The sequence below is a fragment of the Homo sapiens genome, chromosome X, assembly GCF_000001405.40.
Source record: "Homo sapiens chromosome X, GRCh38.p14 Primary Assembly".
In the NCBI taxonomy this organism is placed as follows: Eukaryota; Metazoa; Chordata; class Mammalia; order Primates; family Hominidae; genus Homo; species Homo sapiens.
The window spans coordinates 129,294,836-129,321,206 of record NC_000023.11 but is presented as its reverse complement, the minus strand read 5'-3'; the positions used below and the strand labels follow the sequence as shown (position 1 = coordinate 129,321,206).

The 26,371-nt window shown below is 39.6% G+C and overlaps 1 long non-coding RNA gene across 2 annotated transcripts in view, besides 2 other annotated features; it reads left to right on the top strand.

Moving 5' to 3' along the window:
• Positions 1 to 25,488, top strand: part of LOC107985684 (uncharacterized) — a 32,370-nt gene extending 6,882 nt beyond the window's left edge. The window contains exons 2-3 of one of the 2 annotated variants that reach the window (XR_001755961.3): positions 182 to 229; positions 1,045 to 25,488. This is a non-coding gene — a long non-coding RNA (uncharacterized LOC107985684). Of the gene's footprint in view, positions 1 to 181 lie in introns of both variants that reach the window. The other variant, XR_001755960.3, reaches the window with a different exon arrangement.
• Positions 7,510 to 7,678: a silencer, noted in NCBI's record as "fragment chrX:128447506-128447674 (GRCh37/hg19 assembly coordinates)". NCBI's record gives its function as "represses an EF-1alpha promoter that drives an FKBP-Casp9 reporter gene in an ReSE screen in K562 erythroleukemia cells {active_cell/tissue: K562}" and the evidence as "EXISTENCE:reporter gene assay evidence [ECO:0000049][PMID:32094911]".
• Positions 10,705 to 11,337: an enhancer, noted in NCBI's record as "OCT4-NANOG hESC enhancer chrX:128443847-128444479 (GRCh37/hg19 assembly coordinates)". NCBI's record gives its function as "activates a minimal SCP1, AML or CMV promoter by ChIP-STARR-seq in primed H9 embryonic stem cells {active_cell/tissue: H9 hESC(primed)}" and the evidence as "EXISTENCE:reporter gene assay evidence [ECO:0000049][PMID:30033119]".
• Positions 25,489 to 26,371: the final 883 nt, after the last annotated feature.

Genomic DNA, 26,371 nt, shown 5'->3' with positions numbered 1-26,371 from the left:
TTCTGGGCCAGATTTAATGAAACCCAACTAGAAAATATATTTAAATCCAGTGAACTTTCTTGCTTGGGGATTATTATCCTTGTCTAGATTCCCCACAGATGCAAGAAGGTCTGTCTATACTTTGTGTTCTGTTTTAGTACTTTTGATAGTAGTTACATTTCCCCCTCACTTATTCCCACAGTTCAGCTGCTATGCAAACTGAGAAGGACCAAAGGTATTCTTAGATAAAGTAAGTAGTAGTATTTACAGCACTTTTGAATCTGGGAGAAAGTGAAGTACAGACAGATTAGTAAACAAAGAACTGTGAATCCTTAGATGGCTCCACCAACTAATCAATTCGAGTCGATTATTGCCTTCCCAGTTCTGAATTAGGATGCTTGCTTGCAGTGTGACTTATTTAGTCAGCATTATTTTACGACTCTACAATTTTCTCTCTTTATCTGAAATGATCCAGCCTAAAACTCCCTGAAAATGCCGGGCATTAAGTATATCACAATGGTAATTCTTTTGACTGAAGCCTTATTTGATTCAGTGGAAAATGACTTCAGTGTATTGGATTTACAGTTCATTTAATGAGTGTTGTAGAGGTCAATACATTAGTGTAAACTTGGTTCAGGTAGTAATTTGGTTTCTAATGAGGTTCCCAAGCAGCATCCTACTATGAAAAGTAGGATAGTGCTCAGTGGGCATAGAATATAACTGTCTAATCAGACATAAGAAATGTGCCAGTTGTATACTACAATAATGCTATGATTGTTTGACTTCTTTAGGATTCAGTTTCCATTTCTGTAAGATGAGCAGGTTAAACAAAGGCCCTTGAAGCTCTGAACTGTTTTGTATTTTCTCGGTAATCTTAAGAAATCTCCCATCTTTAGGACATGTGCTTTGTAATGGAGATGGATTTGCATGAGCCATTTGTGCTGTGATATGCACTCCATACCAAAACCATGGCTCCACAAAACCTTGTCTGACAATTGAGTTGTGTTTCTGAATGTCTTGCAAGCAAGACAATGACTGCTTGTTGTTCTGGACTATTTTCTTTAGGATGTTTATATAGGGAAAAGCTTGGCAATATGGAGATAATGTCTATGGAACAAAGGGAAGGCATGCTTACTGCCTATTATGAATGATTCTATAAGCTCAAGTTCTCTAAGTTCAGGGTGCCTCTCCTGTAATGCAACCCACTTCATGCACAGATGACATTTGGTCCTCCTCACATTGCCCTGTTGGAATCTGCACTCCAAAACCAATGCAAAAATGACGATACTCTGGCCACTGCTGTTGCTGTGAGTGATAAATTTTCTTTCATCTGTCATCTAGGAGTCTCGTATTTACTACTGGTATCCATGAAACTGTAGTAGGCCAACTTGCTAGTTTGAAAGTAGAGTAAAATCTCAGACCCTTCAAGGTCCTTGACAACCCTAGTCCACAGTCACTTTCCTCTTTTATTACCACTATAGCACCTAGCCTCTGAACAATCCAACTCAAAACACATTATGTCTTTTGTTGAATTGTTTTACATGTTAATTTTATCTCCCAACTAGATCATAAGCATGCGAGAGAGGCACCATGCCAATGTTTTTTCTGTCTACCCTGTAGCAGCTGGCACAGGCATGGGTACATAGTACGGGCTCAATATATATTTTTGATTTACTTTGGTTATATGCATACCAGCTGAAGTAAAATACTCCATGCTTTTTATCATTGAACTTGCCTTGGATGTCTTCTTATAGTTGAAAACAATAGATGTACTCTCCTAGAAATAGAAAAGCTCTAATGAGAGATGAAGAAACCATTTTTCAGGCTTCTAGGATGCAAGGCATATACATTCTTTAATCAGTTGGACATCATTGACTAAGGGGCCAATTACAAAGCTATTCTGAGTCCCACATTTCCCAAGATGTTTGTTGTGCTGGGCTGCTAATAATTATCATGTTTTGGCAGCTGAAGAACTAGAATATAGTCTCTGTTTTTGTAGAAATCAATGGCCCCAGGAGGTTATCTATACCAGCCTACTGTCTGCAACATCAGTGGGAGCTTATTTGGCATTTGATACCAATCCCAGAAGAGGATATGAATCCCTGAGTGCATTTCCCAATGGCACACGCTCGCTTCTTGTTTTCTTGTAAGTATCCTATTATTAATGGCCCATTATACCAGAAACAAAAATGTCTATATACGCATTTTCATTTAGTCTGTCATTGTTTCCAATGGTCTGGATTATTCGATTAGTCTCAATCCAGTTTTCTTTGAGGGAATATGGAGACACAAGAGTTGTCTGTCTTTAGTGCTAAAACATTAAAACTTAGGGCTCTTTCTTATGGCTATAGCCTTGAAGATGCACTCCTTAGCTCCATAACATTGTGTTCTTTTCTTTTCTTTTCTTTCCCTTTTCTTTTCTTCTTTTCTTTTCTTTCTTTTCTTTTCTTTTGTTTTCTTTTTTTCTTTCTTGTTGTCAGGACTGCAACACACTCTCAATTCAGTCTTCCTGAGTGCAACTGATACAATTTTACAGATGTGGCATGGTCATCATTTTCTAACTTTAGCTTTGCTAATCTGGCATTTTCTAACTTTAGTTTTGTTAATTCAGGCTGTTCCTTCTCACTTAAAAATATTTCCTCTTATTTGAATTTGAGTATGCTGCCACCAAGTGGTTGCCCGTTCTTTGATTAACATGGTCTCATAATTCAAACTGCAGGCTGCACTGTTTCTATTGCTGTTGTTGGTGTATGTGTCAGGATTGGGATAGTGAATGCCTATTAATAGTTGAAGGTATCAGGTATTAGAGGGAATTAGGGCAAATCTTCATGAAACAGCAGGAAGATATTGAAAAATAAAAATGGGCTGTAACTTGAGGAGGGGAGAGGAAGGGCAGTATGTGTCCAAAGAATGAGATCAGGATTAGAGGAGATGTGGAGTAGAGGGAACAGAGAAATAATAGGAAAAAGGGAAAATGACCCAGATTTAAGAGAACTTGATCGCTGAAACAATTTTCATCTTTTGTTTCTGTACTTCCTATGGTTCTTGTACTTATTAGGGACTACAAATACCAAGATAGATGCATTATCTTGAGCAGGATTCTGTCTTGTATATATTTGTATCCCTCACAGTGTCTAATGTAGTGCTGGGCACATAGTTGGTTCTTAATAAAGGTCTGCATGAATGACCCAAACCTGCAAGAGTTGAGACAATATATAGTGTAGGCAAGGGGTGCTGGCTTGAGGCACAGGGGCAGCTCCTAATGAGCAAGCCTTGACAGTGTCTTGCCTCTATCAAGCTGATGCCTTGCACAACTTTAGCTGGCTCCTATGATCAATCTTCCAAATTAGAACCTTCTCCAAATCTTCTCAGGAAGGTACTTACATGCCCCCTCCTTCCTCCTCCACTACCTTCTCCATTCTTTCCTCTTCTCCCTCCTCCTCTCCTTCCTCTACTCCCTCCTTTTCTTCCTCCTCTTCCTCTTTCTCCCCTTCCAAGGCTCTTGATGTCTTCATACCTCTGAACAAGTCTGGGTGGTTGGAAACAGATGACCTCTGGAAGCTTTTGATTGGAGGATGAGAGATCTAGAGTTCTTTCCATTCGTAAGATGTATAGGGAATGACTGTATAGGGCTTTCAAAAAATGCATATGAAAATTGGGGATTGTTCTATGTAAGATGTTTGCTGAAATTAATACCTTAGACACAGTCTCCAGAAAGGGGTTTACTCCTGCATGATAACATGCATGCTATGTTATCTTTGGCCTTGGCTAGTATATGTTCACATGACTACTTTTTTCAAGATACACACTCCCAGATCTCAATCTTTACCCAAATATTATAATTCATGAATATCTGGTGAAAGTGTCCTGTGTGCACTTCCCCTAATGCAGAAATGAAATCCTTGAAGACGATTGTTTTAGTAAGCAAGTATGACCTTAGTCACTTGTTTACTTGCTTTAGTAAGACCTGTTTGGCACCATAAACATCCACATATCTAACACAGAATTTCCCAGGGAGGTTCCACGTGGAGCAGTATAGCATGGTGGATAAGTGTGAGGGCTTGGGACTACTGACTGCTCAAATTTTACCTCTGTTGTTTGATGTTGGGCAAGTCAATTAATCTCTCTCTGTGCTTCAGTTTACTAACCTGTAAAAAAGGCTAATATAAATTACCTTACATGGCTGTTATGAAGGTTAGGTTAAATGACAAAACACATGTAGTGTGCTTAAGCACAGTGCTTAGCATATAATAAGTATACAATTATTGGTAGTTATTATATAAATTTCTTCCTTGAACATAAACTTTGGGAAGTGATGGCCCTGGATAGTGTCTCTCTTACTATCATGTCCTTGTGCTCAGCTTCTGAGGCTTATGAAGATGCCCTGGGCACAGAGACTCAGGCTGTCTCCTGGCCCACAGAGTGCGGAACAAGTGGGAGCTTGTAAGCTAAGTAGGATGTCATTTTGAGTCACTGCTGCTCTAATCTCTTTAGACAGTTCTGAAGAACAATTGGATTCCCTTCAGTTTTAATTTCCCTACCTTCTCAGATAAATTTTCCAAATGTCCACTTCCCATTTCTTCGATCAAAGCCAGAGTTGAAGGAAGCTGGCCTTCAATCTCCAACCAGGCTGAGAGCACCATTTGAGCTCAAGAGCAAATTGTATTGGAAAAGAAGCAGAACCACTGACTAAAATGAATTGTCATTAAATGAGGCTTTAAATGAAACCACAAGGCAGAGCCTCATCCTAATTGGCAGTGGAGTTAATCGGGTAAGAGGCCAATTCCAGATGTCCCATTGCAGAACTTTTAAAACTCGCTCCCTGCTTCTTTTACTTTCTGCCCCTAACCACCTCTTTCCACCCTCACACCGCCTTTGAAAGATGATGATCATTGGGCAAAGATAACACTGAACTATTTAACATCTTTTTAAAATCTATAATCTATAAATTGAATGCAGGAATAGAAAATGTCAGAACCATGATACAATTTGAAATGTTTCATGTGGTAGGGTGGATAATGGTACCCCAAATATGTCCATGTTCTAATCCGTAGACTGAATATGTTACTTTACATGCAAAATAAACTTTGCCTATGTGAATAAGGTAAGAATCTTGGTACAGAAGGATTATCCCAGATTATCCAGGTAGGCTCAGTGTAATCACAAGGGTCCTAATGAGAGAGATGAGGAAAGAGTCAGAGGCAGAGGAGCAGATATGATGACAGAAGCAGAGATTGGAGTGACGACATAGAAGGTGGAGGAAGGGGCCAAAAGCCGAGGAATACAGGCAGGCACAGGAAGCCACTTGTCAGCTGAAAGAGACAAGTAAATGGATTTTCCCTTCCAAGCCTCCAGAAGGAACTAGCCCTGCCTGCACCACAACTTTAACCCAGTGAGACCCATTTCAGACTACTGACCTCCAGAACCATAAGAAAATAAATCTGTGTTGTTTTAAGCCAACTGTCTCCCAAATACTCCCAGATATGCTGTAGAGCTGGAAATTTCCCAAATTAGAAGTATTGCTTTGGATGATATCAATGAAGGACACAATTGTTAAAAAGCTTCCACTGAAATGCAAAGGGAAATGTGTTAGGCAACATTCAACCTGTTATGCCTTGATCTGACTGGCTGGCAGAGAGCACGGAAGAGGACCCAAGATGCAGGGATTTCTGGGCCTTGGGGCATGAAATTGATGGGTGGGATCTGTGTGGCTGGATGCAGCAAGTGATGCCTGGGATGAGAGGATGCCACAAGGGAGAGAGCCTGAAAACAAAATCCCATTTATCACACTTCTTCTTGAGTTTTCACCCAGTGAAAAACTCAATGCTTCGGATGTGAGCATCACCTTTGTCACTAATCCAGCTTCAAACCTGTTCCATAAAGCTCCTGGTAAGCTTAAAGAAAGAAATAGCTTTTTGCGCTTATCTAGACTCACAAACTCTCTGACTTGAGACTGACTTCTCTTTGGTCTACCCTTGTAGGATTTGGTCTCCTTTTGGTATTCCAATGTCTTCCAACTTCTACTGCCTATTTTGGACTCCTGGTCTCCTCTAACTTCAGCTCTTTGGGCTGCCTGCCAGGCACATTTCTGTTCTTTCTCAGAGGCTTGAGTGTCCTCCTTCCAAGAATTCTTTGCCCTAACCTGTAAACCATTGCCTCCCAGCCCCTGGCACCAAAGCCACCATTAGACCCTGATTAGGAGACCTCTCAGATTCTTTATGAGATGACCCTGAGAGGCAATTATCCTCCACACTGCACACTTTCCAGAGTACTTTGGCCTTTATAATAAGAAGTAGCAGATTTACAGATGAAGGATCTTCAATCCCAAAACCTGCTCTCTCTGTCTGCAACGAACATACTCCATCACTTGCTTTTCCCTACCTCTGATCTCACTCCCAGAGCACTGCAACGAAAGTCCAGAAAAGTGAGGGTCTTTGAACCCATTAGTAGCTCCCCAAGCCCCATATCCACTTGTAGTTTGATGAAAATGAGAAGCATGGATCTGATCAGTTGGGCCTTTATAGATGCATGTCAGATCCACATGAATAATATGATCTTCGAGCAACCCAGAAAGGAGAGAGTTTCTGTTTCTCAAGTCCCTTGCCTCAGAGTCAATACAGTGATACCATCCAAGAAAGGATCTGTAGCCTAGGATATATAACAGATTCACTTATTATGCTGTCAGGACGCCTGAGGCAAATCCATCCAAATGTGAGTGCTGACTTCTTAGGAACTGGACAAGTGAGCTCAGGTACTGTAAAGGAGCACCTATGACTTGTTTACCAGGTCTAAGTTGCACAATCACAAGAGCCCAAGAATATCAAATAATCCACATCAAATTTTCAAACAGCCAGACATGATATGTTCTCAATTCCCAGGCCACGTTTATTATTAAATGATGTTCTAGCCCTTTGACAATACCTGCTATTAGAACCAGGGCTTGGGTGGTGGTGGAACAGGCCACAGTGGCATAGACAAGACCTGGGAATTCAGGAAGTTTTCCTTGGTCAGGAGAAGTCTGCGGCTGGGACAAGTATGATGTAGTTTGGATGTTTGTCCCCTCGAAATCTCATTTTGAAATGTAATTCCCAATGTTGGAGGTGGGGCCTGATGGGAGGTGATTGAATCATGGAGGCAGCTCCCTCATCAATAGCTTAGCACCATCCACTTGGTGATAAGTGAGTTCTTGCTCAGTGAGTTTGCATGAGATCTGATTGTTTAAAAGAGTCTGAGACCTCCCCCCACCTTTCTCCTGCTCTCACCATGTGACATACCTTGCCTGCTCCTGCTTTGCTTTCCTCCATGACTGTAAGCTTCCTGAGGCCCTCACCAGAAGCCAAGCAGATGTTGATGCCATGCTTGTACAGCGTACAGAAATGTGAGCCAATTAAACCTCTTTTGTTTATAAATTACCCAGTCTCAGGTATTCCTTTATAGTAAGGATTTAATTCCAAGGTTTAATGATTTGGTTATTACAGGGTTGAGTACATGGTGGTTTGACTCCAAAAGTAGGTTCAGAATCATATCAGACCTAAGAGGGATAAGAGCAGGTAAAATGTGAGAATAAGTTTCCACGGTGACAAACTGAACCGAGAACCTGGCTATTGGCCAAGCAGGAGTGAGGCAGTTGACCAATGGCCATCTAAGTAGCTGGCAATTGCCGGAGTTCAGATTAGCAGCTGGTGAATTATCAAGGAATGATGGCAGTGGGTATTAGGGATTCAGTTCCAGATTCAGATTAGGAAACAGATTTTTTTGTGTGTAGGAAATCTAGTCCTAATACTAGGATACCAGGCAAGGAATTAGACATCGGGGAGGAAAGACATGGAAGGGCTCCAGTTATGAAGGTACATATATTCTGTGTCAGTAGAAAAATATGACTCAGTGCTGCTTTGCTGAATTATTTTCTTCAAACGCTTCCTGATTGGTGGCCTCTTCCAGCCTATTATTCACAATATAGCCAGAGTGAGCTTTTCAACACTCTAAGCTGATCGCATTGTTTTAATTGCTCTTAGGATAAAGACCAGATGCGTTATCAATCTCTAGAAGGTTCTGCATGGTTTGGCTCTTGCCTGCATTTTTAGCCTCATCTCCCACCATTTCTCCTTTCACTCTTGGCACTCTAGCTGCACTGGTTTTCTATAAAATCCTCAGGTCTCTACTGTCTCTCAGAGCTGTTGCACATTGTAATTTCTTCTGCTCAGAGTGTATGTTACCCCTTTTGTCATCCTTCCAGTCTCAATTTAAATGTCACAACATCAGGAAGGTCTTCTCTGATTTGTTTGTCTAAAGAAATGACCCCTTATTCTTTATAATGGTTCTACTGACCACCATCATTTACACTTACAAGTCACACCCACTAACCTTGCCTACCAGGACCAGCGAGCTCACCACCTCCTGTGTACCACTTTCATCAGTGTTACCTCCCCAATATCCTCATCATTTCAACACAATTCCCCACTGTCATGCACATCACCACACCCTCTAGCTCCACCCATCACCACCAACCTCATCCACCCCTTCTATAACCCATGCTCCCCTTTGGCCCATCTCTCTACCAGTCCCGATTAGCCACACTCAAAAGCCCCACACATTACCATCAGCCACGCCATCCTTTCCTCATCAAGCAGTTCCAAACACTAGCAGCCCTACCCCACCACCTCTCCTGATGAGCACGGGCCCTCCTGCTTACAGTTCAGGCATCAGCCAGCTTCAGTGATGTCTTCCTTGACCATTCAGTCTGGATAAGGTTTCCTTGTTTTCACTTCTCATAGCCCCCTCCCTGCCCTTCTTCTTCATAGTTCTGATCACAATGCTAATCATACAGTACTTTAGGTAACTGTGCTTAGTGGTCATCACCCTCACAGGTTTATGTCTATTTATTCATTGCTATTTCCCTTGTACCTAGACACACAGTATATCTAAAAAAAATAATGCTGAATCTTGTTGTATCAAGTGTTACAGATTAAAAAGCCCAAGGCTCTAATCAGCTAAATAATGTACTCAGGGTTGGATGTCTAAGTGCCAGAGGTGGGATTCAAACCCAGGTCTGGCTGACTATAAATCCTGTGGTTTCTTAACCGTTATATCAATGGTTTTTGCCAGTCCAGCAGCATCAGCTTCACTTGGGAACTCATTAGAAAATGATAGACTGGATTAAGAAAATGTGGCACATATACACCATGGAATACTATGCAGCCATAAAAATGATGAGTTCATGTCCTTTGTAGGGACGTGGATGAAATTGGAAACCATCATTCTCAGTAAACTATCACAAGAACAAAAAACCAAACACCGCATATTCTCACTCATAGGTGGGAATTGAACAATGAGATCACATGGACACAGGAAGGGGAACATCACACTCTGGGGACTGTTGTGGGGTGGGGGGAGGGGGGAGGGATAGCATTGGGAGATATACCTAATGCTAGATGATGAGTTAGTGGGTGCAGCACACCAGCATGGCACATGTATACATATGTAACTAACCTGCACAATGTGCACATGTACCCTAAAACTTAAAGTATAATAAAAAAAAAAAAAGAAATGCAAATTCTCAGGTTCTGCCTCAGATTTACTGAATCAGAAACCCTGCAGGTGAGGCCCAGCACTTTGTGTTTTAACAGGTCCTCCAGGTGATTCTGAGGCCCAATCAAGTGTGAGAACCACTGCTCTACATGACATTTCCCATTATATGGTTTCCACTTGGTAAAAGATCCATGTTGTTCTCGGTCTATGCAAATAGCCCTAATGCTACCTAGCATGGGGCTCAGTATATGATAGGTTTTTAATAAGTATGTGTTGAATAAGTGAATTGAGCTCTTGGGTACACTAGATTTTGAAAGACATGAGTAGGGTTTTTTTTTTTTCATCAAAACCACAGAGGGACAGTGAAAATACCATTGAAAGCCTAATATAAGGGACATGACACTTGCCTGGAGAAAAGTTTTCAAAATGAAATTATTTATTACCTTCTCCTTTCCCACTCCTCCTTTCAGGTCAGTCTTTTCTATGAAAAGATCGTCTCTGACCCCTGTGGTTCATATTGATAGCCCTCTTATTTGGCTTCTTTGCAGCATTTAGTGTATCACTTAAGCTATCCTTGGATTATATGTGATGATGCATTTTTTGAGTGTCTCAGATATATAAATCATAGTCTCCATAATGAAACTATATTCTCTTTAGCACATGGACTGTGTCTTTTCTTTTTCCTCTTCTAGTTTCTACCATGGCCTTAATATATAGTAAGATGTTGGGATAATGTTTTAATAAATTCTCCTGTGTGTGTTTGTGTGTCTGTGTGTGTGCTTATACCTAGTCCTTTCCATATTCAGCAAACACATTCATCACCTAAGAGAAAGGCTGTTATAGTAGAAGAGCAGAAGACAAAAAAAAGTAAATTTGTAGCCTTTGAGTTTTAAAAGCCTATTTAGAATTTCAGGAACTAGAGCTTTTGAGCTTCAAAGGCCCGAGTCCTAAAGAACCCAGAAAATGCACTTCATGACATACACACTAGATTTGAAAGGATACAGGATAAGTTAAAGCCTGTTTTCCTCTTCCCCAAACTAGATGAAGATCCTATCAGATATGAGAAAAGTGAGAATTAGAACAAAAGAGTGAGTCCTTAGTGAGTCCCTTAACAGAGGTGCTGTAACATGATGTTGTGGACTAAGACCCAAATTGAAGAAATATGAATAATACAACCCTCAATGGGGCATGGGAGTAGAGAAATCTGAGAGCAGATGAGACTGTTTCTTGCCTCTCCCCATATAGAGGTTTTTGAACAGTTTCCCTGAACCTAGCCTGACACTAGAGCAGTAGTGTTGACTGCATGTATTCTATGTCAGGAGACAGGGCTTGAGACCACCTCACAATTCCCTAGACTCTGGGGAGGTATTGGAAGAACCGAGTGTTTTCTAAATACCCACAAGGACATCTCGAGACCTGAGAGATCTTAATCTCAAGGCTAAGGAGGCACAGCAGTGATCTGAGTGCTTCTGTAACTGATGCCTGGGTGGAATTTGAATATCCCTAGAACACATGCAGAGAGATAACCAAGGCCACACATGACAATACACCTCTCAGTGGATTCCAGGGTGAACAACAGCAGGCAACTGAAGATCAAACACTTTCTGCTTGTCTTAGCCACAATCCCAGAGATTGTGGGGAGTGCTTGAATTGACTGGAGTTAAGGTTTATACTACTTGGAGGAATAGGTGCTCAAAATAGACCGAGATATTAGAAAAACATTCTTGTGCATCTGATTTTGTGAGTTGACATTTCTTTTTTTTTCTTCTCTTCTCTCTCTTTTTTTTTTTTTTTTTCTGAGATGGAGTCTCACTCTGTCACCCAGGCTGGAGTGCAATGGCGCGATCTCAGCTCACTGCAACCTCTGCCTCCCAGTTTCAAGCGATTCTCCTGCCTCAGCCCCCCGAGTAGCTGGGATTACAGGCGCACGCCACCATGCCTGGCTAATTCTTATATTTCTAACAAAGACGGGGTTTCACTATGTTGGTCAGGCTGGTTTCAAACTCCTGATCTTGTGATCCACCTGCCTCAGCCTCCCAAAATGCTGGGATTACAGGCATGAGCCACTGCACCCGGCCCACATTTCTATCAATTCTATCAAGGCACACTATATTTGGTCAATTGGATTGAATTGATGAACAAGATCCTTTTTCCTGAGGACAACATTGAGGAGAAAAGTGAATCAGAAAACAAAAAGCTTATCAGGTGTGGTGGCTTACGCCTGTAATCCCACCACTTTGAGAGGCCAAGGCAAGAAGATCGCTTGAGCATAAGAGTTTGAGACCAGCCTTGGCAGCACAGTGAGACCTTGTCTCTACAAAAAATAAACAAAATTAGCTGGGTGTGGTGGCACACACTTGTAGTCCCAGCTACTTGGGAGTCTGAGGTGGGAGAGGATCTCCTGAGCCTGGAAGGTTGAGGAGCAATGAGCTGAGATCATACCACTACCACTACCACTGCACTCCAGTCTGGGCAACAGAGCAAGGCCCTGTCTCAAAAACAAAAATAGAAGCTCCTGCTGGGGAATTGGGTAAATTATTGAAGTGCTCCCTGAGCTGTCTTTGCCTCAATATGCTTTTAACCCAACACTTCTCAACTTTTCTAGTCCTTGATAGTGACAGTGGTGTTCCATATACTATGTTATACCTAGTTAGGCAAAGTAGAGTCTAGCTATAGCTACTCAACTACTTACTAAGGCAGGAGAGTTAACTCAGCATTTCAGAGTCTTCATACATATTCAGAGATTGAAACAAGAAGTTTTAAAATAACTCCCAGACTCCCAACTGTACATGTATTTACAAATGTATGACTTGATCATTGATTTTTAGAAGGTAAACAGAACCAGACAAGTTCATATTTTTAACTAGGTTATAGCCTGAATATTGTATTCGGAAGGACCATGTTATTTATTAAACTGTGTGAGGCTGCCATGATTATGCTGTAGATAGGCAGAGGTCTCCAGAGTCAATTGGGGTTGTTGAATCACATTCAGCGAATGTCCTTCCATCTCAATTGAAGAAGCTTGCTATTGAGGGACTCCCCTGAAGTAATCAATTAAAAGCAGTAGCATTAAGCAGCTAATGGTGCTGAGAAATCAATACTGGTATGGGGAAGGAACAATTCCCTGCAATGATTTCTATGCAAATTCTGATTCTTATACCTAATGACATTAGGATTCACTAATGACACATAACTCAAGGAATTGCTTCTTTCCCAGTTAAGCATGAAGCACATTTTTGCCCCTACAACCTTGGCGGCCACTTGGGCAGCTTACTTCTGTTGCTGGGAAGCAATAGATAAAGGTAAGGCAGCCAAACTTTCTATGGGTCCCTCTTGTGGGAGAGGAGATCTGATAGAAATACTGACTTTCTGAAGATTGGAATGGGTTCCTGAAAGGGCGAGGACCATTCATTCTTTCATTCAGTGAGCATTTGTCTGCTCTGGCCCTGTGCCTTTAACTGCTCCATCCCCACTCATGACCAAGGTAGTCCTATCAAAGATACCTATAGCTCAGCCCAAACTGCTTTGAGACTCTCTCTACTTTCTCCCAGAGTAGATTCCACTACTTTCTCCCAATATTAAATATTGTAGTGGGCATGCATTTTACCCCAAAATATAGAGTGAAATAAATATTTCTTTTATTCTCTAAATATCAATCTGCTCAGAGACCATACCCTCCCCCCAGATTTGATAGAACATTTAATCTCAGTCATTGTGGAGGCCTCCATGTCCATGTTAAGTACTAAGCATTTGGACCATCACAGGGAATCCTCAGATCTTCAGTTTTTCACACTGGCCATCACTGACATACTCATTGTCCAAGCCTGTATGGTCTCTTCAAGGCTAGCAGCTCTGCTGCTTCTGGACCAAGCTGAGGCACAGGGGATTCTGTCCAGGCTGGGAGTCCTGAACTGGTTTGGGTCTAGTCTTTCTTGGATATCACATTGCCATTTTTCTCCGATGTCCTGTCACCTCCCTGGGCACTGTCAAAGAACAGGGTGTCTATATACTCTACTTGTAGAATCTGTAAAACTCCAGTAACCCTGTCTGTTTTGAGAATACTGTCTTGAAGCTCTTATAGGTACTTCTATATCTCTGTTTTCCAAACCTCAGAGCCACTTCCATTGTAGAACAGTAATTTAGCTCTTTGTTTCCTCTTGCCTTGGCTTTAGAACTCTGCATCCTCTTAACTTTGATCTGGAGCAGTCGAATCTTTGGGTCATATTGCACCAGGTAGGCTGTGTGCATGTACGCAAGTATATGTGTGTGTTATGGGGAGGGGTGCTCATTCTTTCTGAGTTTTCCCTTTCTCATCCTCCCTTCTCTTCCACCCCCTACACCTAGCAAACTTATAACTATCCTTCAAGTCTCAGCTTATATGTAGTTCTTTCAGATTAGTTTGTCATGCTCCTCTACTCTAAATAGTCCCTTTTATACACATGTATAGCACCCTGTAGCTATTCTATGTAGCACTTGCCATAATGGTAATGAGTTATCAGGGTGATTGTTAATGTTTGTTTTTTTCCCATGTGTTTGTAAGCTCCATGATAAAAGGGACTGTTCTTTTTTGTTCATTGTTATGTCCCTATCCCCTCATAAAATATCTGACATTTAGATGTTGTAAACAAATGTTGAATAAATGAAGTGATATCTTTCCATATTTTAGAAGTAACAACAGAGAAATGATTTTCTAATTTTTCATTCTTTAAATTTATATGGTGTTGATAGCTTGTACAATGAAAATAGATAGTACATGCACTATCATAGCAAAAGAGTTGGCATAAAGTTGTTTGTACTATCTTCCTCTTATCTTTTTAACACATAATATCTGTAGTGATGTCTCCTTTTTCATTCCTGATATTTCATTCCTCATCTTGGTAATTTGAGCCTTCTCTCTTGGTCTTTATTGAAATACAGTAATTATATTCATCTAAAACATCATTAAGATAATGAAAAGGCAAATTAGAGTGGGAGAAAATATTTATAATATACATAACTTGCAAAGGACTTGTGTCCAGAATATATAAATAACTCCCACGGATAAATAAAAAACGACAGATAACCTAATTAAAAATTAAGGACTTGATCAGGTATTTCATCAAATAGTATACTGACATGTTTAGCAAGCATCATTAGTCATTGGGGAAATGCAAATTAAAACCACAATGAGTGACCACTACACGTTTATCAGAATAGTTATCATTAAAAAGACAAACAACAGCAAGTATTGCCAAGGAGTGGAGTGAGTGGAACTCTCATATGCTGTTGACTGCAGTGTAAACTGGTACAACTACTTTGGAAAACTGGCAGTATCAATTAAAGTTGAATATATGTGTACCCAATGACCTAATAAATCCATTACTATGCATATACCCAACAGAAATGCACACATTTGCACCAAAAGATGTGCAAAATGTTCACAGCAGCATTATTTGTAATGGCACCAAACTAAAAATAATCTAAATGTTCATCAACATTAGAATGGATAAATTGTGGTATATTCATACAATGGAATATCACACAGCAATTAATAAGAAAAAAATACTACAACACCAAGCACAATGGATGAATCTCACACATATAAGATTGAATAAGAAGCCAGAGATAAAAGAGAATACATTTATATCAAGTTCAAGCACAGGCAAAATTAATCTATGGTGATAGAAATTAGAATAATGATAGAAGACCAAGAGAAACATGAGAGAGACTTTTGGAATACTGATAATGCTCTGAGTCTTGATCTAGGTGATGGTAACATAAGTGTGCTTACTTTATAAAAATTAATCTGTATAATTAAGATTTACATTTTTTGTATGTTATATTTCAATAAAAGTTTATAACAATAGATAGAATAAATGCATTAAAAGAGAGAGTGACACTGGATGAATTTTAATGTTCCTTCTAGTTCTAACATGCTATGAATTTATGTTTGAAAATTTTTTGAAAATAATAAAATCCTTGACAAGTATAAGGTCTTTTATGATTATCAGTGGTAGTTGACCCTGAATTCCTCATGATTTCCTGATCAAGTCATGAAAAATAATTTGCTTAAAGTTTTATATCTTTGTTTCCCATATGAAAATGTAAGTTACCTCCCTTTCTGGATCTTCTTCATTTCCTAGTTTCTTTGGAATTTTTTGGTGAAGACATTGAATGAACCACCAGAGGCAAATACCATGGAGAGTAATCCTGATTACTCGTATAGTTTGAGTTGGCAAGAATGATGGCAAAGCCCCTGAATGCAAAATGCAAGGTTTAAGGAGAATGCTTCAGGATTCCTTTAAGTCATCTGTGGCTTTGGGTTCCCCAGACTATGTTTTCTACTTCAATGCATAATGCAGCAGTGGAAATAATAATGATTTTCCCAAACACTTGACCTCCGTTAGGAGTCAATTTTAATGTTAGGAGAAAGTGGTGCAATAAAAGACAAATAAAGTACATTTAGCATTCATTTCCAAATGTAGTCATTCAAATAGCAACACCTTTATCATTGTCATCACTTTCTTTTTTCCTTAGCCTTACCAGTAAAACTCCATTAATGAATCTACACAGTTGAAAAAGTGGTAGACTTATTCTGAAAGATGAGGCTTTGGCTTTACTGAAGCCATTGAGCTTGCTTAGAACACACTATTCATTTTTTTCTTGGAAGCTTTTCTCTCTTTCAGATATTCATTAAGAACTCAAATTTCCTGGTATCTAAATCAAAGTATCCTTTAAAGGTATATCACCTTCCTAATTCTTAGCCTGGAAAAAAATGTCAGAAAATTCTTTAAACTCATTTAGTGAAGTATTTTAAATGCTCATCTTGCACTTTTGAGTGAAGTGTAATTTACATTTCATAAAAGTAGAAGCCGAGTAGCAAGCTGTAAGTTATTATCATATAATTAAATGTCTACTATGAAGGGAATGAAAACGTGGGCTCCTTTGTGCCTTTCGTGACTGGGTTATGCAATAGCAAATTAAATTACAGCTCTTTATCTCAGGAAGTCTCCATGGGACCTACTGAGGGTTTTTAAAATATACCCCTGAGTTGCCAATATAGTTTCAGCTGAAACCTGAAGCAATCACTTCACTGTCCAAGCAGACCACATGGAAATGGAATCTGTAGCTTTGGTTTTAGAATGGAAACCAAAGTGTCTACTCCTCTCAGTAACTTAGAAAACCCCTGTTTCCCTAGGTTAATATTTGTAAACAGGAAACACTAACATGATAATTGGTAATTAATTATTACTGTGGATGAGCTTTATTTATTTAAATTCACAAAGCAGTTGGCTTTAGGGATAATAATCAAATACTAAATGCATTTTAATTAGTTGAAATACTCCTAATCTGATCTTATCTAATAGTCACTTAAAATATGCATTGTGTACTTGCTAAGTTCCAGATGCTACGGGGCATCAAAGGGTCAAAAAAGACATGTTCTCTGCTCTGAAGGTGATTACAGTCAGGAAGGGGATAGAAGCTATGCATACAAAAAATACAATATAAGGCAAAATTAGATAGTTATCAGAGAATCCAAGGTGGAGGAGCTCAGAGGAAGGAGCAATCATTTCTATTTTTGGCTAAGTAGAGCAGGTAAGATTTCAAGAAAATAGTATTTAATTTGGTGGATAAGGGATAGATTTATTATAGGAGGAGGTATTGAGGAGCCCATGATCAATTATATAAGTGGGAAACCAGCACAGGGTCTTCAGGGAATGAAGTAGTTTGTTCCCTTATTCAACAGTCACTGTGGCAATTTATTTAAATTTGTGAATACAATTGTTAAGGTTTACAGACTTTCTTTTCAGTCAAAAGCTATAATATGATATTCTTGATATTGTTTGGAGCATTAGATTCATGTAGGGGTCTAGTGAGAGATATGGATGATGTATTATTTAATTCCTGCATTGCCATGGAAATACCTGAGATGGGGTAATTTATAAAGAAAAGAGGTTTAATTGGCTCACATTCTGCAGGCTGTGCAGGAAGCATGGCAGCATTTGCTTGACTTCTGGGGAAAGATCAGGAAACTTACAATAATGGCAGAAGGTGAAGGGGGAAGCAGGCACTTCTTACGTGGCAAGAGCAAGAGGAAGAGAGCAAGAAGGGGGAGATATCACACATTTTTAAACAACCAGATCTCATGAGAACTCTATCATGAGAACAGCACTAGGGAGATAGTGTGAAACGGGTAGAAACTGCCCCCATGATTCAATCACCCCTCACTAGACCCCACCTCCAGCATTGGGGATCACATTTCGACATATGTTTTGGGTAAGGACACAGATCCACACCATTTCAGATGACAGTGGAAGTTGCAGCTGGATTGCAAAGATGATTGGTCACCACTCCAATGAAGACAGACTTTACTCAGAGAATCATTCATTTAAAAAATTATTGATGGACTATTGTGTACCCAGCATGTAGAATACAGTTGCGGATATCTTTCCTGCCCATAGGGAAATGGGTTTAGTGCAGGAGCTGGTTGAGAGGTGTGAGGGCCCCTCTCTTACAGGATGTGAGGTGTCAGGAAAGGCACGCCTTCTAGAGATGGAAATGTCTGAGTTGAAATATAAAGGACAGCATAGGCTTTTCTGGAATGAAGATGGTAGGAAGGTGTTTCAAGCAGAGGGAACCTGTCAAATCACTGAGGTGTAGAGAACCAGAGAGTTCCTGGTCTTGCTGGGCTTGAACCTAGGGTGTGAACTGAGTTGTAGAGAGTCAATGCTAAAGGGGTCAAAAAGGGATCTGATAGTGAAATACCCTATAGAGGCTATTGCAATGATTCAGTTGGAAATGACAAGACCTTGAGTTAAAAATATAGTAACAGGGAAGAAGAAGAAGAAGGCATACATTTGAGAGATATTTAGGGGGTAGAATTTACATGATTTGCTAATCAATTGCATGTAAGTGATGAGGTGGGTAATGGAGAGTGAGTGCGAATCTCAGGATTGAACTTTGGTGTCAGGAAGTGCCATTCATTGAGGGGGAAACACAGGAGGATAAGACTTGATGGGGAAGTCCTGAGCTCAGTTTTACCTATGTTGAGTGTGAGGTGCCTGTCAGATACCCAAATGAAGATTGGATATATTATTTGGGGTGCAGGAATGTAGTTTGTGCTACTGATATAGTCTTGAAAGTCATCAGCATTAGGAGTTAAAAATCTGAATGTCTACAGTATCCAGATAGGTGACATACATGAATAATTCTGTTTGGGGCTGATATGGGCCTAAGACAAAAAGAAGAGATGAGCACAAGCCCTCCCCAAAGACATTCAAGTTAGAAATAAATGTTGGAGGTTTCACCGGGGAAAATGAAAAAAAATCTGGTAAGCCAGCCAAACAAAACCCAGCTGCAGGCTGTATGAATCTTCAAGCAGCCAATTTTCCATACTTGAGACATACGTATGCATATAGAGTAGATGTAGCTTTTATGCAGGGGGAATATATAGAGTACAGAAAAAGGACAAGGACAAAGGTCCAGAGGAGTAACACAAAAAACAAGCAGATACTCCACTCCAGGTTGGGGAGGGAGAAGAATGAGAGAAGGGAGAGAGAGAAGAAAAAGGAGAGGGAGATGGAAAGAAAACCAGAGTATGGTGTCCAGGAAGCAAGAGGAGAAGAAGATTTTCAGGCAGGGAATGGTTAACTGTGTTGAATGCTACAGACTTAGATCAAGATTGTGAACTTTCTATAGGAATTTGTACCATGGAGAGATTGCTAGCTTGAAATGAAGCCATTTCAGTGGTGTAGTGGGGGCTAAAGCCAAACTATAGTGGGCTGAGGATTTAATGGAGAAGAAGAAGTGGAGACTGTGAGTATAGACAAGTCTTTCAAGAAATTTGGTTGTGAATGTGAGGTGAGCAGTTGGGTGGCAGCTGGCTATTTATCTGTACATATACACTGGGAGAGACATGAGCATACTTGTATGCTAAAGAGAGAGGATGAAGTTGAAGATGTAAGAATGAGAAGGATCTGTTGAAGAGCTGAGGTCCCTGGAAAGGTGGAAATAGAAGAGATCCAGAGAATAGGTGGAAGGATTAGCCTTGAGATAGAAGAAATGGCACCTTTTCTATGGAAATTGAAGATAATTTCATTTAACAAAGATTTATGTAGCCTCTGTACCCTGCCAGATACTGTTCTAGGTACTGAAGATGTAGCAGTTTGAAAAACCAGGACAAAAATCCCTGCCTGGATGGAACTTACATTCCAGAAAGAATGAAGTATGTACAAGAGCAAATACATAAAAGCAGGGATGAAACATTGGAAATGTAGTTGAAACATTCTTATTTGATGACCTCAATTTTCTCTGTGACTGAAGGAAGAGATCTTATGTTACTGGACATAGAAAATATTGGATTGGGGTTTGTGTGAAAGAAGGGCCTAGGAACAGAAAAAGAAACTTCTGAGCAGCAACTAGACTCCTACTTGTCTTGCAGTAGAGGAATGATGCACAAACTTTTCTGTAAAGGACCAGATAGAATAATATTTTCTATATCTACAGAAGTCTTGCTGGGATTTTGATAGAAATTACATTAAATCTGTTTATCAACTTGGGGAGAATTTGCATCCTTACTGTGCTGAGTTCCCAATCCAGAACATGTTATGTATCTCTATTTATTTAGATTATTTTTTATTTCTTTTCATTAGCATTGTGTAGTTTTCAGTGTATAAGTTCCGCATGTGTTTTATTAGATTTACACTTAAGTATTGGATTTTAAAAGGAATTTAAATGGTACTATATTTTGAACTTCAGTGTCTACATTTCATTACTATTATATAGAAATACAATTAATTTTTGTATCATTATCTTCTGTCCTCCAACCTTGCTGAATTCATTTACTAGTTTTGGAGGTTTTTGTAGATTTCTTTGGATGTTCTCTGTAGGCATCTTCAAATCTGGGTAGTTTTATTTATTCTCCATCTGCATGCCTTTTATGTTCTTTACTTTCTTTATCGGACTGGCTAGATCTTCTAACATTATGTTGAGTAAGAGTGGTGAAATGGACATCCTTGCCTTGTTCTTGATCTTAAGGGGAAACTATCCAGTCTTTCATCATGAAGTATGATGTTAACTTTAGGATTTATGTAGATGTTCTATATCAAGTTGAGAAAGTTCCTCTCTATATTTTTCTGAGAATTTTTGTAGTGAATTGGTATTAATTTTTTCAAACACTTTTCCTGCATTGATCAATATGTTCATATAAGGTTTCTTCTTTAATCTTTTAATATGGTAAATTACATTGATTGATTTTTGTAATATTGTACCAGCTTTGCTTCTGTCTTTATCCATTGTTTGTTGCTATAATAGAATACTATAGACTAGGTAATTTACAAAGAAAAGAGATCTATTTCACTCACGGTTCTGGAGGCTGGCAAGTCCAAGAGCATGGTGTTGGCATCTGGTGAGGGTCATCTCATGGTGGAAGATATCACATGATGAGGAAGCACACAGGAAAGACAGAGAGAAAAGATGGGGGATAAACTTATTTTTTAAACTAGGAGCCTGTTCCTATGATAACTAAACCACTCCTGTGATAACAGCATTAATCCATTACCTTTTAAAGACCCCATCTCTTAATGTTGTTACAGTGGCAATTAAGTTTCCAGTACATGAACTTATGGGGGACACAATGAAACCATAGTATTCTCTCCTGGCCCTCCAAATTCATATTCTTCTCACAGGTAAAATACATTCACTTTATCCCAATAGTCCCAAAAGTCTTAACTTTTTCAGCATCAACTCAAATGTCCTGATATATAATAATGTTTTGTTATCCTAAATGTCTCGAAATAGAGTCACTTACAAAAAGTGACTCAGCCCACAGTGAAGTTGCTGACACATCAAAGTGATAAACATATATATAATGGACTGAGGTGATAACACCTACTGTGGCCAGGCACACTCCAGACCTGACAGGAAAGTGAGGCTGAGATAGTGACCATGGATACTCCTGTGGAGGGCCATAAAAAAAAAAAGAAACTGACCATGACTAAGATGCCTAAAGAAACTCTGCCAATGAGAACTCCAAGGCCTCTTGGTAATGGCTGCTGGAAACTGCCTTAGAAGAGCAGTGACTTCCCTCACTGGTCAGCATTTTGAAGGAAATCAAGAGCTGCCCAGTTTGTCTATCAGTGTGCTGGTCTCCTGAATTACTCGCCATGGTTTGTTCTTCTTCTTTCTTATTACTGCCTTTATGTGTTAAATATATTTGCATGATTATTGGTGTGTGAAAGCCTCACAATAAACCTTAAATTTGAAAGCACTTAATTGGCCACTGAGCCACTTTGAAACCTTTCCCCATTCTTGGATTTAGAACAACTAGGCTGATTCAAACCTGACACAAAAAATCAAAAGTCCAAAGTCTTATCTGAATCAGATATGAGTGAGACTTAAGGCATGATTCATTCTGAGGCAAATTCCTTCCAGCTATGAACCTGTGAAATCAAAACAAGTTATCTACTTCCAGAATACAATGTGGGACAGGTATAGGATAGACATTTTGATTCCAAAAGGGAGAAATAGGCAAAAAGAAAGAAGTAACAAGCCCTAAGTAAGTCCAAAACCCAACAGGGAAACATTAAGTCTTAAACCTGCTTTGACTCCATGTATCACTTCCTGGATGCACTGAGGTGGGAGTTGGGCCCCGAAGGCCTCAGGCAATACAGCCCCTATGGCTTTTCAGGGCTCAGTCTATCCGGCAGCTCTCATTGGTAGAAGTTTCATGTCTGCAGTTCTCCCAGGCTGGCATTGCATGTTTGGACCTCTATAGTGCTGAAGTCTTAAGGGCAGCCCTACCCCTGCAACTCCACTAAGCATTGCCTTAGTGGGGAAGTTCTCTATGGTGGCTCTACCTTTGTAGTAGGTTTCTCCCTGGACTTTCAGGCATTTTGTGGCATCCTTTGAAATCTAGGTGGAGGAAGCCATTCCTCCACAGCTCTTGCATTCTGTGTATCTGTAGAATTAACACCATGTAGATGCTGCCAAGGCTTATGACTTAGACTTTTTGGAGCAGCAAGTCAAGCCATACCTGGACCCACTGAGCCATGAGTGCAGCAGCTGAAGAGTGCTGCACCAGAATGCAGGGAGCAGAGTCCTGAGGAGGCTTTGGGCAGTGAGCCCATGGAAGACACCCAGGACCTGTCCCCTGAAATCATTCTGTCCTCCTATAGCTCTGGGCCTGTGATTGGAGGGGCAGCCTCAAAAATCTTTAAAATTCCTTCAGGGTCTTTTTCTCCCATTGTTTTCATGAATAGCACCTGGCTCTGTTCTATCAATACTAATCTCTTTAGCAAATGATTGCTTGGTCACAATCTTAGTATTATATTCTTAGCACTATTTTTTTTAGACAGGGTCTTGCTCTTTCACCCAGGCTGAAGTGCAGTGGTGCAATCTTGGCTCACCGCAACCTCTGCCTCTTAGGCTCAAGCAATCCTCCCACCTCAGCCTCCCGAGTAGCTGGGACCACAGGTGCATGCCACCATGCCTGGTGAATTTTTTGTAGAGACAGGGTTTTGCTGTGTTGCCCATGCTGGTCTCATACTCCCAAGCTCAAGAAATCCACCTGCGTTAGCCTCCCAAAGTGCTGGGATAACAGGCGTGGGCCACTGCACCTGGCCTATTCTTCATATTCCAGAGTATGCTTTTTCAGTCTTTACATGGCCAGCCTGTGAATTTTCCTTATCTTTCTGTTTGGCTTATCTTTTTAAGTATAAATTTCATCTTTAAGTCATTCTTTGGCTTTCACATCTCGCTGTATGTGGCTAAAAGTAGCCATGCAGCAGCCTGAATACATTGCTGCTTAGATATTTCTTCCATTAGATATCCTAGTTCATTGCTCTTAAGTTCTGCATTTCATGAAGTCCTAGGACACAGACACAATTCAGCCAAGGTCTTTGCTACTTTATAACAAGGAAGGTTTTTTCTTCAATTTCTAATATTTTGTTTCTCAAATCATTCTGTGACCCCATCAGAATGGCCTTTGCTGTCCATATTTCTATCAGCATTCTGGTCATGACCACTTCAGTAATCTCTAAGAAGATTTAGACTTCCTCTGTAGCTCTCCCCTTAGGAGCCCTCAAGAGAAACTTAATGCTCTGTTCATGCCAATTTAGACTTTTTCTAGCCTGCTGCTCCAAATTCTTCCAGGCTCTAACAATTATTCAGTTCCAAAGCTGCTTCCACATTTTCAGGCATTTTTAATAGCAATAGCTCCATTTCTTGGTACCAGATTTCTGTCTTAATTTATTTTCTGCTGCTATAACAGAATACTTTAGACTGAGTAATTTATAAAAAAGAAAAAGAAATTTATTTGGCTTACAATTCTGGAGGCTGAGAAGAACATGGTGTGCCATCTGGTGAGGGTCAGTCCATGGTAGAAGAGTGGAAGGCAGAATTGAGCATGCAAGACAGAGAGAAAATAGGAGCTAAATTTATCCATTTATTATGAGCCTACTCCTGTATAACTATCTCGTTGTCATAATGACAATCCATTCATGAGAGTGAAGCCCTCATGACTTACTCACCTCTTTTATACCTCACCTCCCAATACCATCACAGTGGCAATTAAATTTCAACATGAGTTTTGATGGGGACATTCAAACCACATCAGCATCCATGGCTTAAACCCTACTTGAGCATGTTGTTTAATTACTTTTATGTGTTGCTGAATTGTTTTTTTCTAGTACTTTGTTAGGGATTTTTGCATCTATATTCATGAGGGATATTGTTTGGTACATTTCTGTACTGTCTTTGTCTGATTTTCTTATCAGGATAATATTAGCTTTATAAAAGGAATTGAGAAGTGTTCCCTCCTATTGTCTGGAAGATATTGTGTGGACTTACTGTTAATTCTTCTTTAAATATTTCATTTAATTCTCCGGTGAAACAATCTGGACCTGAAGATTTCTTTTTGTGAAGTTTTAAAATTATGAATTTAATTTTGTTATAATGCCATTGAAATGATATATTTTATATTGGGTGAGGTTGTGGTAGTATTTTTTTTGAGAAATTGGTTCATATCATGTATGTTGCCAAATTTATGTATGTAGAGATGTTGGTACTGTTCCCTTTTTACCCTTTTGATGTCTGCGGGGTCCATAGTGATATCTTGTTTTATCCCTGATATTGATAATTCATCTTTTTTTTTGAGACAAGGTCTCACTTCAACGCCCAGGCTGGGTGATGCAATCGTGGCTCACTGCAGTCTCAACTTCCCAGGTTGAAGCAATCCTCCCACATCAGCCTCCCATGTTGCTGGGGGGTACAGGTGTGTGCCACCACGCCTGGTTAATTATTTTTTGTACTTACTGTGGAGACAGGGTTTTGCCATGTTGTTCAAGTGGCTGTCGAACTCCTGGGCTCAAGTGATCCACCTGCCCAGGCCTCCCAAAATGCTCAGATTACAGGCGTGAGCCACTGTGCCTGTTAGATAATTTGTGTCTTCTCTTTTTACCTGGTCAGAGGTAAACAATAGAGGTGTGTCAACTCTATTGATCTTTTAAAAGAACTAGCTCTTTGTTTCAATGACTTTATTGTTTCTCTGTTTTCAACTTCATTGACTTCTCTTTTTAAAATTTTAAAAAATTTTGTGGGTATGTTTATGTAGTAGATATATATTTATGGGTTACATGAGATATTTGATATAGGCATGCAATGTGTAATAATTACAACAGAATAAATGGGGTATTCATCCCCTCAAGCACTTATCATTTTTGTTGCAAACAATTTAATTATACTTTTAGTTATTTAAAATATGCAGTTAAGTTACTTTGACTATAGTCACCCTGTTCTGCTAGCAAATACTAGGTCTTATTCATTCTATTTTTTTGTACCACTAACCATCCCCAAGCATCCCCACTTCTGCCCCACATCCTCATTACCCTTCCTAGCCTTTGGTAAGCATCCTTTTACTCTCTATATTGATGACTTCAATTGTTTTAATTTTCATTCCCACAAATAAGTGAGAACATGTGATATTTGTCTTTCTGTGCCTGGCTTATTTCACTTAACATAATACCTCTAGTTCCATCCATGTTGTTGAAAATGACAGGATCTAATTCTTTTTTATGGCTGAATAGTACTCCATTGTGTATATGTACCTATGTACCATATTTTCTTTAGTTCTCTGTTGATGGACACTTAAGTTGCTTCGAAATCTTGGCTATTGAGAATAGTGCTGGAATAAACATGGGAGTGCAGATATCTCTTCGATATATTAATTTCCTTTCTTTTGGGTATATACCCAGCAGTCGGATTGATGGCTCATATGGTAGCTCTATTTTTAGTTTTTTGAGGGATCTCTATACTGTTCTCCATGGTGGTTGTACTAATTTATATTCCCACTAACAACAGTGTATGAGTGTTCCCTTTTCTCCACATCCTCACCAGCATTTGTTATTGCCTGTCTTTTGGATAAAAGCCATTTTAATGTGGGTGAGATGGTATCTCCTTGTAGTTTTGATTTGCATTTCTCTGATGATCGATGATGTTGAACACCTTTTCATATGCCTATTTGCCATGTTTATGCCTTTTTGAGAAATGTCTATTCAGATATTTTGCCCATTTTAAAATCAGATTAGATTTTTTCCTATAGAGCGGTTTAAGCTCCTTTTACATATTCTGGTTATTAATCCCTTATCAGATGTGTAGTTTGTGAATATTTTCTCCCATTGTGTGGATTATCTCTTCACTTTGTTGATTGTTTCCTTTGCTGTGCAGAAGCTTTTGAACGTGATGTGATCTTTCTCTTGTCTGATTACTCTGGCTAGGACTTCCAGTACTATGTTGAATAACAGTGGTGACAATGGACATCCTTGTCATGTTCTAGATCTTAGAGGAAAGGCTTTCAGGTTTCTCCCATTCAATATGATACTAGCTGTGG